Below are 11,308 nucleotides of genomic sequence, written 5' to 3' on the forward strand. Positions count from 1 at the left end.
GGGGCTCCTCATTCCCCAAAGGAGCCTCTTTGGCAAGCAGGCACGTGGGTCTCCGGGCTGGTGCACATCACAGGGCAGCCAGCCCAAGTGCCATCTTGATGCCCAGTCTTCCTCATGGCTGCGCCCTGCTGGTCTCTCAGAGGGTTAATGCAATTTCTTGGAGGACGACATTCCTAACACCCAGGGGCCAGAACTCCTTCCCCACTGGTTATTCCCATGGCCCAGAGCAGCAGGATGGGGGCAGAAACAGGCATGGACCTTAACAGCAGCGTCTCTGCTGGCTGCTTCCAAAGACGGCGAGGGTTCCCTGAGGAGGGGCCCCTAGGTCTTAGCTCTGCAGCCTGGAGGTGGGGCCCTGGGGGGTGGGTGCAGGAGATGCTCCTAGGAGGAGCCGAAGGGCACCCAGGGATGTGGAATGAAGCCACGACTGGCCTTTAATCCAGAAACTCCAGTCAGATACACATCCTGGGAGCAGGAGCAGCTGTAAAAGATGGGGAGGGGTGTACATATGAAAAGATGTGCCCTCTTCTGGAACAAGCGGTCAGAGTGTTGTAGACCAGTAGAGTGGATGGGGTCATAGCTGTCAACCAGACTCATCTTTCTGCTTTGCCCAGGGCTTAGCTGTGGCACACACAATTCTCTGAGCCTCACAACTTTCCTAGGATGGGTAAGTAAGAATTATGTCTCCATTTTGCAGATGACAAAACCGAGGCTCAGATGGATGACTGGGCTGCCCAGACTCACACAGCTAAGAAATGGTGGAATCAGCACTTGGCCTCAGGTGTCCTGCTGTTCAGTTTGGAGCAGGCCAGATGCAGAGGAGGAGGCATGGGGTTTGAGGTTAGACGGGTCTGAGTTCAAGCCCCAGGTCTGCCACTTCCTGGCTGTGTGCCCTGGAACAAGTCACCTTATCTCTCTGAACTTCTTTTTTTTTTTTTTCTTTTTGAGATGGAGTCTCGTTCTGTCGCCCAGGCTGGAGTGCAGTGGCATGATCTCAGCTCACTGCAAGCTCCGCCTCCCGGGCTCACGCCATTCTCTTGCCTCAGCCTCCCGAGTAGCTGGGACTACAAGCACCCGCCACCACGCCCGGCTAATTTTTTGTATTTTTTAGTAGAGACGGGGTTTCACCGTGTTAGCCAGGATGGTCTCAATCTCCTGACCTCGTGATCCGCCCGCCTCGGCCTCCCAAAGTGCTGGGATTACAGGCATGAGCCACCATGCCTGGCCATCTCTCTGAACTTCTGTTTCCTCATCTGAGATGACAGTCAGAGTGGGATCTGTGTAAGGCACTTTGCACCTTACACATTTTTACCCCCACGGATTCCCACAAAAGCCTTCTGAGGCAACAGTCATTCTCATCAGCTCCGTTTCTCTCTCTCTCTTTTTTTTTTATCAGCTCCGTTTTTCAGCAGAAGACTCTGATGCACAGATAGACTGTGTAACCTGCACAAGGCCACACAGCAGGGAAGCGGCGGACCCAGGATTCAAATTGAGGCAGCCCAGCCCACAGACATTTGCAAATCTTCAATGAAATCCTTTATGTAGGCCAGGCACGGTGGCTCAGACCTATAATCCCAGCACTTTGGAAGGCTGAGGCAGGCAGATCATTTGAGGCCAGGAGTTCAAGACCAGCCCGGCCAACATGGTAAAACCCCGTCTCTAATAGAAATACAAAAATTAGGCCGGGCGCGGTGGCTCACGCCTGTAATCCCACCACTTTGGGAGGCCGAGGCGGGTGGATCATGCGGTCAGGAGATCGAGACCATCCTGGCTAACACAGTGAAACCCCGTCTCTACTAGAAATACAAAAAAAAAAAAAAAAAGGCGGGCGTGGTGGCGGGCGCCTGTAGTCCCAGCTACTTGGGAGGCTGAAGCAGGAGAATGGTGTGAACCCGGGAAGCAGAGCTTGCAGTGCACCGAGATCACGTCACTGCACTCCAGCCTGGGTGACAGAGCGAGACTCCATCTCAAAAAAAAAAAAAAAAAGAAATACAAAAATTAGCTGGGTGTGGTGGCACATGCCTGTAATCCCAGCTACTCGGGAGGCTGAGGGCAGGAGAATCGCTTGAGCCTGGGAAGCAGAGAGGTTGCGGTAAGCCAAGATTGTACAACTGCACTCCGGCCTGGGCGACAGAGTGAGACACTGTCTCAAAAAAAAAAAAAAAGAAAAAGAAAAAGAAATAAAGAAAGAAATCCTTTATGCAAAAGGCAGAGTAAGTAATGGACAAATGTGGCTCCCTTCCTAGCACATCTATTTCTGGTTAACCTCGATGATCCCAAAGGGTGAACCTGGGAATGGGGAGTTCTGAGGAAATTCTACAGAAACAGCCTTGTGAGGTCCTTTGTGGGGGGCACGCTGTGCTGTGGGGGTTCTGGAAGGAATCCGTGGGAGGCTGGGAGGAAGATCTGGCTTGTCAGCTTCCCTAGGAAAACCTTCCCCTGGGCTGGCCGCAGGCTGTAACCGGATTCCTGCTCCACCTCTGCATCTGGCCCAGGGACCTCATGGCAGGGAGGCCCAGCGCCTGGCCCTTTGCCCCTGGACGGGGTGGGCCCTGGGTCATGGTGGGGTGGGTGGGGAGGTCAGGAGGGCCATGGGGAGGGGGCGCGGTGGGGTGCTTTGCCCTGAGAACACAGGCCTCTGGCACCCCGGAGCCCCCGGCAGCTGCTGGCGTCTGTCAGCCACCTTGCGGGGCGCGGCCGGGGGCTGCTGGCCCCTACATCTTCCTGACAGGCCCCTCTTCTGAGGCCAGGAAAAAACAACAACAGTTCCTCCCCTCACGGCAACCCATTTGTTAGATGAAGGCCGGGCACCAGCACCTTTAACCTCCTCAAAGTCAGCGTTTCCCTGTCAAGGCCCCACAGGGCCAGAGACAGAGATGGATGGAAGGAGCTGTGTGTCGAAAAAGCCCTGTGGCCTCATGAGGAGAGCTCTGTTTTCAGGAAGGGAGGGGACCCCGGTTTCTGATTGTTGGGGAGAATAAGGGGAGGAAGAGGAAAAGTGTGAGTCACGAGGAGGTCCCCCAGGGGCGTGGGGGGGCCCAGGAGGGCTTTCAGCCTGGCCACACCTGAGCCATCACGTGGAACTTGCGGAATGTCTCCCATTGTGCGTGGCAGGCAGGCGTGTACTTGGCAGGACAGGGCTGCTTCTGTTTGTGGCCACCCCACCCCCTTGTGCTTGGAGAGGCAGGGTGTCAGGGCAAGGCCCTGGACCTGGAGGCAGAAGACACGGGTTCAAGGTGTGACCTTGCCTGTTACCGGCTGTGTGGTCTCAGGCAAATCACACCCTTCTCTGAGCTTCATTTTTCTCACTGGCAAAATGGAGTTGACAGTTCCGGCCTCACCTGGCGGTTAGGAGGATAAATGAACTGCATCTGAGAACAGAGCTGGCTGACTATAAAGGGTGATGCATGTGAGGAATAGCTTGTCCTTAACTATGCTGAACCACTGGGCAGGACACAGCACAATGTAGGTGAAGACGGCTCATCCCAGCCCCCAGATACCTTCTATGGCAACATAACACAAGGGTCCAAATCATGGCCTTGGGAATTGGGGGCCTGTGGGTTCAAACCTCAGCTCTGTTTTTTTGTTTTTTGTTTTGAGACGGAGTCTTGCTCTGTTGCCCAGGCTGGAGTGCAGTGGTGGGATCTCGGCTCACCGCAACCTCTGCCTCCCAGGTTCAAGCGATTCTCCTGCCTCAGCCTCCCGAGTAGCTGGGATTACAGGTGTCTGGCACCATACCTAGCTAATTTTTGTATTTTTAGTAGAGATGGGGTCTTGCCATGTTGGCCAGACTGGTTTCCAACTCCCCACCTCAGGTGATCTGCCCGCCCTGGCCTCCCAAAGTGCTGGGATTACGGGCATGAGCCACTGTGCCTGACCTCAGCTCTGTTATTAATAAGCTAAATGGCTTTGAGCGACTTGCCTTATCACTTGAGCCTCAGTTTCCTCATCTGTAAAATGGGGATAAACTTCTTCCGTCCGCATGAGGATGCTGAGAGACGTGAGTGAGGTGGTCTATGAAAGCTCTTGTCATAGCCTGGCATGCAGGGGTAACATCTGGATGATGAAGATGATGATACCTGAGATTTTTGCCTTACAGACAACTCCAGAGAGCCCTGTGAAATATTTATATGCCACTGAACAGGGCACAAGATGAAGCCATTAGCCTGCGCTTACATAGTAGAATGTGTGAATCAGATGAGATGCTTGGTCTCTAGTAAGACCTTAAGGGATGGACAGAAGACAGGCAGATTTTGGATATGGTATACGTGGCTGTGGGCTAGCGTGTTTACTACTGGGCCTGGGATGTATTTGGAATGTACACATGTGTCCTTTGCTTCTCAGAACACTTTGAGGCAGCAGAGTTACTACTGCCTGCCAGCCTGCCTCACAGGGTTTTTTGTTTTGTTTTGTTTTCTTTTTTTTTGAGATGAGTTTCACTCTTGTTGCCCAGGCTGGAGTGCAATGGTGTGATCTTGGCTCACTGCAACCTCCACCTACTGGGTTCAAGCGATTCTCCTGCCTCAGCCACCTGAGTAGCTGGGATTACAGGTGCATGCTACCATGCCCGGCTAATATTTTTTATTTTTATTTTTATTTATTTATTTATTTTTGAGATGGAGTCTCGCTCTGTCACCAGGCTGGAGTGCAGTGGTGCAATCTCGGCTCACTGCAACCTCTGCCTCCCAAGTTTAAGTGATTCTCTTGCCTCAGCCTCCCAAGTAGCTGGGACTATAGGCACGCGCCACCACACCCAGCCAATTTTTTGTACTTTTAATAGAGACGAGGTTTCACTATATTGGCTAGGGTGGTCTTGAACTCCTGACCTCAGGTGATCTGCCCGCCTCAGCCTCCAAAAGTGCTGGAATTACAGGCATGAGCCACCGCGCCTGGCCCTGACAGGGCTTTGTAATGCTCAAATAATATGATCCAAGGGTCAGAGTTGAGTAAACTATAGAACATAGTCCTTGCATTCCACCCCAGGGGCCCAATAACGAGGTCTTTCTCTAAATCTCAGAAAACACTAAGCTAAGGGAGGTAAGTTCTGCAGATGGGTTTTCTCTGTGTGTGTGTGTGTGTGTGTGTATACATATATATATACACACACACATATATATATATACACACATATATATACATTTAAACCTTTGGTGCTCTACTTGTCTGCTACCAAAATTGTAGGCAGATGACTGAAAAATGTAACACACAGAATGGCCTGCATAGAAACCTGGCTCTTGGAAGTCATATGAGTCAGTTTCCTCAACTGTAAAGTGGTGGCTCACTGTACAGACACTCAGTAAGCACCCAGCAAATGAACACCTTCCAGGGGTTCTGTATTGGAGTCAGCTGTATAGAATGAAAACAAATGACAAAAGGGGAAACACACAGAGTTTATTATTCTCCCCCATAAAAAAGGCCGGAGGTGACAGTCCAAGCTGAGATGGCCTCTCCCCCAGGCACTGTCTCTCTACTTTGCCCCCCTGCGGCACCTTGTTCAGCTGGCATGTCAGCATTCCACACAGCACGAAGGAGGAAGGACAAATGGACTCTCCCCATCTCTCTGCCCACTGCCCCCCTCCCCACAACCCGTTTAAAAAATAGATATGGGGGGCCGGGTGCGGTGGCTCGTGCCTGTAACCCCAGCACTTTGGGAGGCCGAGGCGGGTGGATCACGAGGTCAGGAGATCGAGACCATCCTGGCTAACACGGTGAAACCCCGTCTCCACTAAAAATACAAAAAATTCTCCAGGCATGGTGGTGGCAGGCGCCTGTAGTCTCAGCTACTCTGGAGGCTGAGGCAGGAGAATAGCGTGAGCCCGGGAGGCGTAGCTTGCAGCAAGGCGAGATTGCGCCACTGCACTCCAAGCCTAGGCGACAGAGCGAGACTCCATCTCAAAAAAAAAAAAAAAAAAAAAATAGACATGGGGGCCTGGCGCGGTGGCTCACGCCCGTAATCCTAGCACTTTGGGAGTCCGAGGTGGGCGGATCACGAGGTCAGGGGTTCGAGACCAGCCTGGTCAGCGTGGTGAAAATCCATCTCTACTAAAAATATAAAAATCAGCTGGGCGTGGTGGCGCATGGCTGTAGTCCCAACCACTCAGGAGGCTGAGGCAGGAGAATCACTTGAACCCGGGAGGCGGAGCTTGCAGCGAGCCGAGATCGTGCCACCACACTCCAGCCTGGGCGACAGAGCGAGACTCCGTCTCAAAAAAAAAAAAAAAATAGACATAGGGTCTTGCTATGTTGCCCAGGCTGGTCTTAAACTCCTTCCTTGAGTGATTCTCCCACCTTGGCTTCCCAAAGTGCTGGGATTTACAGGAGTGAGACACAGTGCCCAGCCTCTCTACATTTTTTTTTTTTTTTTTTAAGACAGACTCTCACTCAGTCCCTCAGGCTGGAGTGCAGTGGTGTGATCTCAGCTCACTGCAATCTCCACCTCCCAGGTTCAATTGATTCTCCTGCCTCAGCCTCCCAAGTAGCTGGGACTACACGCCTGGCTAATTTTTGTATTTTTAGTAGAGACAGGGTTTTGTCATGTTGGCCAGGCTGATCTCAAACTCCTGACCTCAAATCATCCACCCGCCTTGGCCTCCCAAAGTCCTGGGATTACAGGCATGAGCCATTGTGCCCAACCCTCCCTGCCCTGTTTTAAGGAGGGTCCTGTTCAACAATTACTCTACAGACCAATTGCCCGCAACTATATACTTGGCAGTGAGGAACTGCTGGGGAGGCTGGGAGATTCAGCCTATAGGCACCTTGGTGGCCCTAATAACTCTTTTATCTTCTTCTTCTTCCCCATCAGAACCTGTTCTCAAGGAAAAGAGCTAAGGTAGGCTGCCAGATAAAATGCTGAGGTAAGTCTGTTCCAGAAAATATTGGGACATAGACTAAAAAATTGTTGTTTGTTTATCTGAAACTCAAATTTAACTGAGTGTCTTCTTTTCCCCCTAAATCTGGCAATCCTAATCCAAGGCTAAACTCATTTTCAGGACGCAAAAGGCTCTGGCCTTACCTTTTGAGTCAGGACGTTGCACTTTGACAGAAGGCTCTGGAAGGAAACTTTAAAGGGAGCCTTCCAGAGGGAAATGCGGTGTTGGGGTAGGTCTGCCTTTGGCTATGGGCTTTCTGGCTGCCGGAGGGCCCAGGGTCCCCCAGGAAAGCCTTCTGTGGAGGTCTTTTGAGAGAGACAAAGCAGAGGGGTGGAGGAAGGGCGGCTCAGGTGGAAGGAGTGAGGACAAAGGTGAGTGCCCCTGGGCAGGAAGTGCTGAAAGAGAGAAGGAGGGAGGCCACCAGGCCTGGGCCTGGAGCCAGCCTGGGAGACTCCCAGCCGCCCACTTCTCGGGGCCTCCCTTTTCCAGCCCCTTGCTTTCGAGGCAGCAGTGCCATTATTTGGGGAAACCAGCTAACCAGATAGGACAGCAAACCGGGGATTTATGTGGTGTGGGAACAGCTCAGGTTTCCCTCCCTGTTTACCCAGCAGTATTTTTTAAAACAGAAATCAGCGTGTGGGTAACCGCAGCTGTGAGTTACTAGCTCTGGCTGTGAGGGCTGGGGTGGGGGGAGTCTCTTCAGAGCCCTCTGTCCACTGGCCTGGGAGCTACTGAAGGAATGTGCCTCTCCCCATCCCAGGCCAGGTGGAGAAGGTGGCCCTGCGGAAGTTCCCAGATCACTGCCCACCTCACCCTTCCCCTCCCGACGAAGGCCAGCACACCTGGGGGAGGTGTGATGATGGTTCAAGGTCTAAAGCTTTAGAGATCAGTCAGTTTAGGGGTCAGAACCCATGGAGCCAGGCAAGTAAACACAGGTTCCCCAAGCCAGCTGGGAGGGAGACACCTGGGTGCCTTTGATGGGAGAAAGAGGGGGCCAACAGCTACTTGGCACTGGCCAATTTTCCCTTGCATGAACATGGGCCCAGTGTAACCAACCATATCTTTCCATTTGTCAAAAAAAAGCCATATTTCCAGATTTTTTATAGGCAACCTGTCAACTTTTAAATGTTGGCAATGAATTCAAAACACTGCCATTCAATTAAAAGCAGCCCAGAACATGGCACGACTGGTTCTTGGAATACCAATCTGCAATCTCTGATCTTGTCCAACTCTCTCTGCTCCCCATTTTACAGATCAGGAAGCTGAGGCCCAGAGAGGCCTAGGGACTTAGCCATGGCTGCAGCAGTTGTTATTGGGAATGCCATGAGGCCAGGATGCCTGTTATGTGTTCTTTGCCCAGCCTAGCAGTTTGGCTGGCTTGGCTATGCCAGAGGTCTCACCATGCAGTTCTCAAGTGCTTCCTGAGCATCTCTCATTTGCATAGACATGACATTTACAAACACATCCATCATCTACTTGATTCTGGCAATGACACCGAGGGAGCAGAACTGGCATTAATCCATTTTTTTTAATGGTGAGAACACTGAGGTTTGGAGAGGCTGGTGACCTGCCAAAGTCACAGTCCTAGAAAGGGCTGCAGCCAGGGCCTCCAATTACAGATCAAGGGTTTTTCCACCCCCAAACTCAGTCATCTCGTAAAAACGTCAGGCTCCTTGGGGAATACAGCTTGAGATGGATAATCAACTCCTCCTAAAAGGGAACCATAAATGGATGAGATACTTGGGTAAACTGAATATTCTTTGTAACTTAAAGTTAATTGAAAATCCATAGGTTATCAATTTTCCAAGCAGGAGAATAAAATAGAAGGTATTTCAAAGAGCAATTATAGTAGGCATGGCTTAATCTTTCTTTGATGATTCTGAAGGCATTTCAGGGGAATGTAATGCCTTAGGGCATCATTATGAACACCAATAATTACTGTGTAGGGCTGTGACGCAAATTCTCATCAATCCCCTCCTGGCTGTCGGGGTGTTTTCAGAGAGGATCATGCAGGGAGTGTGAACGTGTGCCTGTCTGTTTCTTGCTGCTCTCTCCGCCTTTGTCAATTTCAGGGTGCTGTTGTGGAAAATGCAGTGTCCCTGGAAGGGGGAGGTCACTTAACCTTAATGAGCTTCTGTTTCTTTATTAAAATGGGGTAATGCAGACTCCTATACTCACTGTCAAGGTTTTGTGGGGCTCAGATGTCAGTGTCAGAGCAGGAAGAAACTTTAGATCATGATATGCACCAGCTTCATTCTGCCATGGAAAAATCTGAGGCCCAGAGAGGTTAGGAGCCTCGTCCAAGGTCACCCAGCCAGGGAGAGGGTGCTAGAACCTGGGTTTTCTGCTTCCTAACCTCTTTCCTGAATATAACACTATGGAAGAAAAAGATCTGGAGGAACGGAAAGATGAACACATGATTACACATGCAAACAATACTGGGGTCTCTCTGATCAGAGAAGGTGTGATCTTCCAGCCTCAGGAGAGGGGCCATCCAAGTCCTGGAGGAGGTGAACCCCTTAGTTCAGGGCTGGGAGTAGCCTGGGGGCAGCAGAGACACTGCTGTGAGGTTTATAGTTTCATGACTGTCAGAGCTTTTTAAAATGTGGTAATTTTAAGTGTGCAGCCTCCCAGGGTCTTTCTTCTTTTAATTGAAGAAATAAACCATCTCCCCTAAGGCATGCTTGGCGAAGGAGAAAGGCAGGTGCAAGGCTCACAGAGGAGAGCAGCAGCCTAGAAGGGCTCTGTGTCATGGGGAAGTAAAACATCCCAGAAACAGAGAGCAGAAGGCCTTGACTGAGCCCCAGGAGAGGCAGGACACCAGGGGTGCACACCCATAAACACACACATACACATGTATGTCTCCTCCCTGGAGCCTGAGAGTCCCTATATACAGCAGGTGCATGTGGGCCACACATCACACAAAATTGAATACAGGCAGGCTCAGAGCACCAGCACACACGTATGTCCTTGACACCCTTAGAGATACTACTAAGCACGTGTGTGTACCTGCTCACCCATATGGCAGAGCCCCTGGATCTGGGCAGAAATGCCAAAGCAGGGGCAGGCGCGTGTGCGCGCGCACACACACACACACACACACACACACACACTAGCACAGCCACAAAAGCTCAATCCACATCCAGCATTCCTAACAACACACACACAGCTAGACACGCTAGGAGACACATCAGGACAATGTTTCCACTCCCGCTGCCATACACATATGCAGGTCCACATTCACCAGTGGGGTAGGGTAGAGTCTCATCAGTCCAGACTCGCAGACAGCTGGACACAGAGGTGATCTCTGAAACCCAATGTCTACACACTGTGGTCTTTGTTACACACACACACACACACATTGAAATGATGTCCTCAGCCTTTGGTTATTTTTGGTTTCTTCTGAGCTGGAGTTTCACTCTTGTTGCCTAGGCTAGAGTGCAGTGGCGTGATCTCAGCTCACTGCAACCTCCACCTCCCGGGTTCAAGTGATTCTCCTGCCTCAGCCTCCCAAGTGGTTGGGACTACAGGCGCCCGCCACCACACCCTACTAATTTTTGTATTTTTAGTGGAAACAGGGTTTCACCATGTTGGCCAGGCTGGCCTTGAACTCCTGACCTCAGATGATCCTTCCGCCTTGGCCTCCCAAAGTGCTGGGATTACAAGCTTGAGCCACCGCACCCGGCCGAGCCTTCGGGTATTTTGAAAGCTGAATGTGTGGTTACATTTTCTTTTCTTTTTCTTCTTTTTTTTTTGAGACGGAGTCTCTCTCTGTCACCAGGCTGGAGTGCAGTGGCGCGATCCTGGCTCACTGCAACCTCTGACTCCCCGGTTCAAGTGATTCTCCTGTCTCAGCCTCCTGAGTAGCTAGGATTACAGGCATGCACCACCACGTCCAGCTAATTTTTGTATTTTTAGTAGAGCCAGGGTTTCACCATGTTGGCCAGGATGGTCTCCATCTCCTCAAATCGTCATCCGCCCGCCTTGGCCTCCCGAAGTGCTGGGATTACAGGCGTGAGCCACAGTGCCCGGCCTACGTTTTCAAACAGCAATAGCATTCGCCTCCTCTGTCAGTTTAACCCCCATCACAACTCCCACTTTTGGCACCTAAACAGTTAATTTCCCAGTTCATGGGCCTTCAAAGTCCTGCTCTAGTCTCTGGAGGAACTTTCACCTACAGAGGAAGGTGTAAGGGAAACTAGTTCATGGATTTAAGTAGAAACATTTTAGGTGTAGCTTTCACATACAGAGGAGTGAGAAAAAACTGATTCATGGATTTAGATGGAAACATTGTAGTATGAACCCAGCGGAGGGTCTGGGAGCGCCTTCTGGTGGTGAGAATTAGAACCGCAGCACTTTCTGCAATGTGCCCAGGCCAGAAAGCTCTACCTTCTGATAGGACCCACTTCTGACCCTAGAATGGGGGAACTGATGGAGGT

The 11,308-nt window shown here is 51.2% G+C and overlaps 1 long non-coding RNA gene across 1 annotated transcript in view, besides 4 other annotated features; it reads left to right on the top strand.

Moving 5' to 3' along the window:
* The window catches only part of LINC02594 (long intergenic non-protein coding RNA 2594), a 41,895-nt gene continuing 32,664 nt past the window's right edge, over positions 2,078 to 11,308 (top strand). The window contains exons 1-2 of the long non-coding RNA NR_184089.1: positions 2,078 to 2,213; positions 6,803 to 6,854. This is a non-coding gene — a long non-coding RNA (long intergenic non-protein coding RNA 2594). The remainder of the gene's footprint in view (positions 2,214 to 6,802; positions 6,855 to 11,308) is intronic.
* Positions 2,860 to 3,385: an enhancer, noted in NCBI's record as "H3K4me1 hESC enhancer chr17:41743014-41743539 (GRCh37/hg19 assembly coordinates)". NCBI's record gives its function as "activates a minimal SCP1, AML or CMV promoter by ChIP-STARR-seq in naive and primed H9 embryonic stem cells {active_cell/tissue: H9 hESC(naive and primed)}" and the evidence as "EXISTENCE:reporter gene assay evidence [ECO:0000049][PMID:30033119]".
* Positions 5,705 to 6,204: an enhancer, noted in NCBI's record as "H3K4me1 hESC enhancer chr17:41745859-41746358 (GRCh37/hg19 assembly coordinates)". NCBI's record gives its function as "activates a minimal SCP1, AML or CMV promoter by ChIP-STARR-seq in naive H9 embryonic stem cells {active_cell/tissue: H9 hESC(naive)}" and the evidence as "EXISTENCE:reporter gene assay evidence [ECO:0000049][PMID:30033119]".
* Positions 6,779 to 7,302: an enhancer, noted in NCBI's record as "H3K27ac-H3K4me1 hESC enhancer chr17:41746933-41747456 (GRCh37/hg19 assembly coordinates)". NCBI's record gives its function as "activates a minimal SCP1, AML or CMV promoter by ChIP-STARR-seq in primed H9 embryonic stem cells {active_cell/tissue: H9 hESC(primed)}" and the evidence as "EXISTENCE:reporter gene assay evidence [ECO:0000049][PMID:30033119]".
* Positions 7,303 to 7,824: an enhancer, noted in NCBI's record as "H3K27ac-H3K4me1 hESC enhancer chr17:41747457-41747978 (GRCh37/hg19 assembly coordinates)". NCBI's record gives its function as "activates a minimal SCP1, AML or CMV promoter by ChIP-STARR-seq in primed H9 embryonic stem cells {active_cell/tissue: H9 hESC(primed)}" and the evidence as "EXISTENCE:reporter gene assay evidence [ECO:0000049][PMID:30033119]".

Source organism: Homo sapiens, chromosome 17 (genome assembly GCF_000001405.40).
Source record: "Homo sapiens chromosome 17, GRCh38.p14 Primary Assembly".
NCBI lineage: Eukaryota > Metazoa > Chordata > Mammalia > Primates > Hominidae > Homo > Homo sapiens.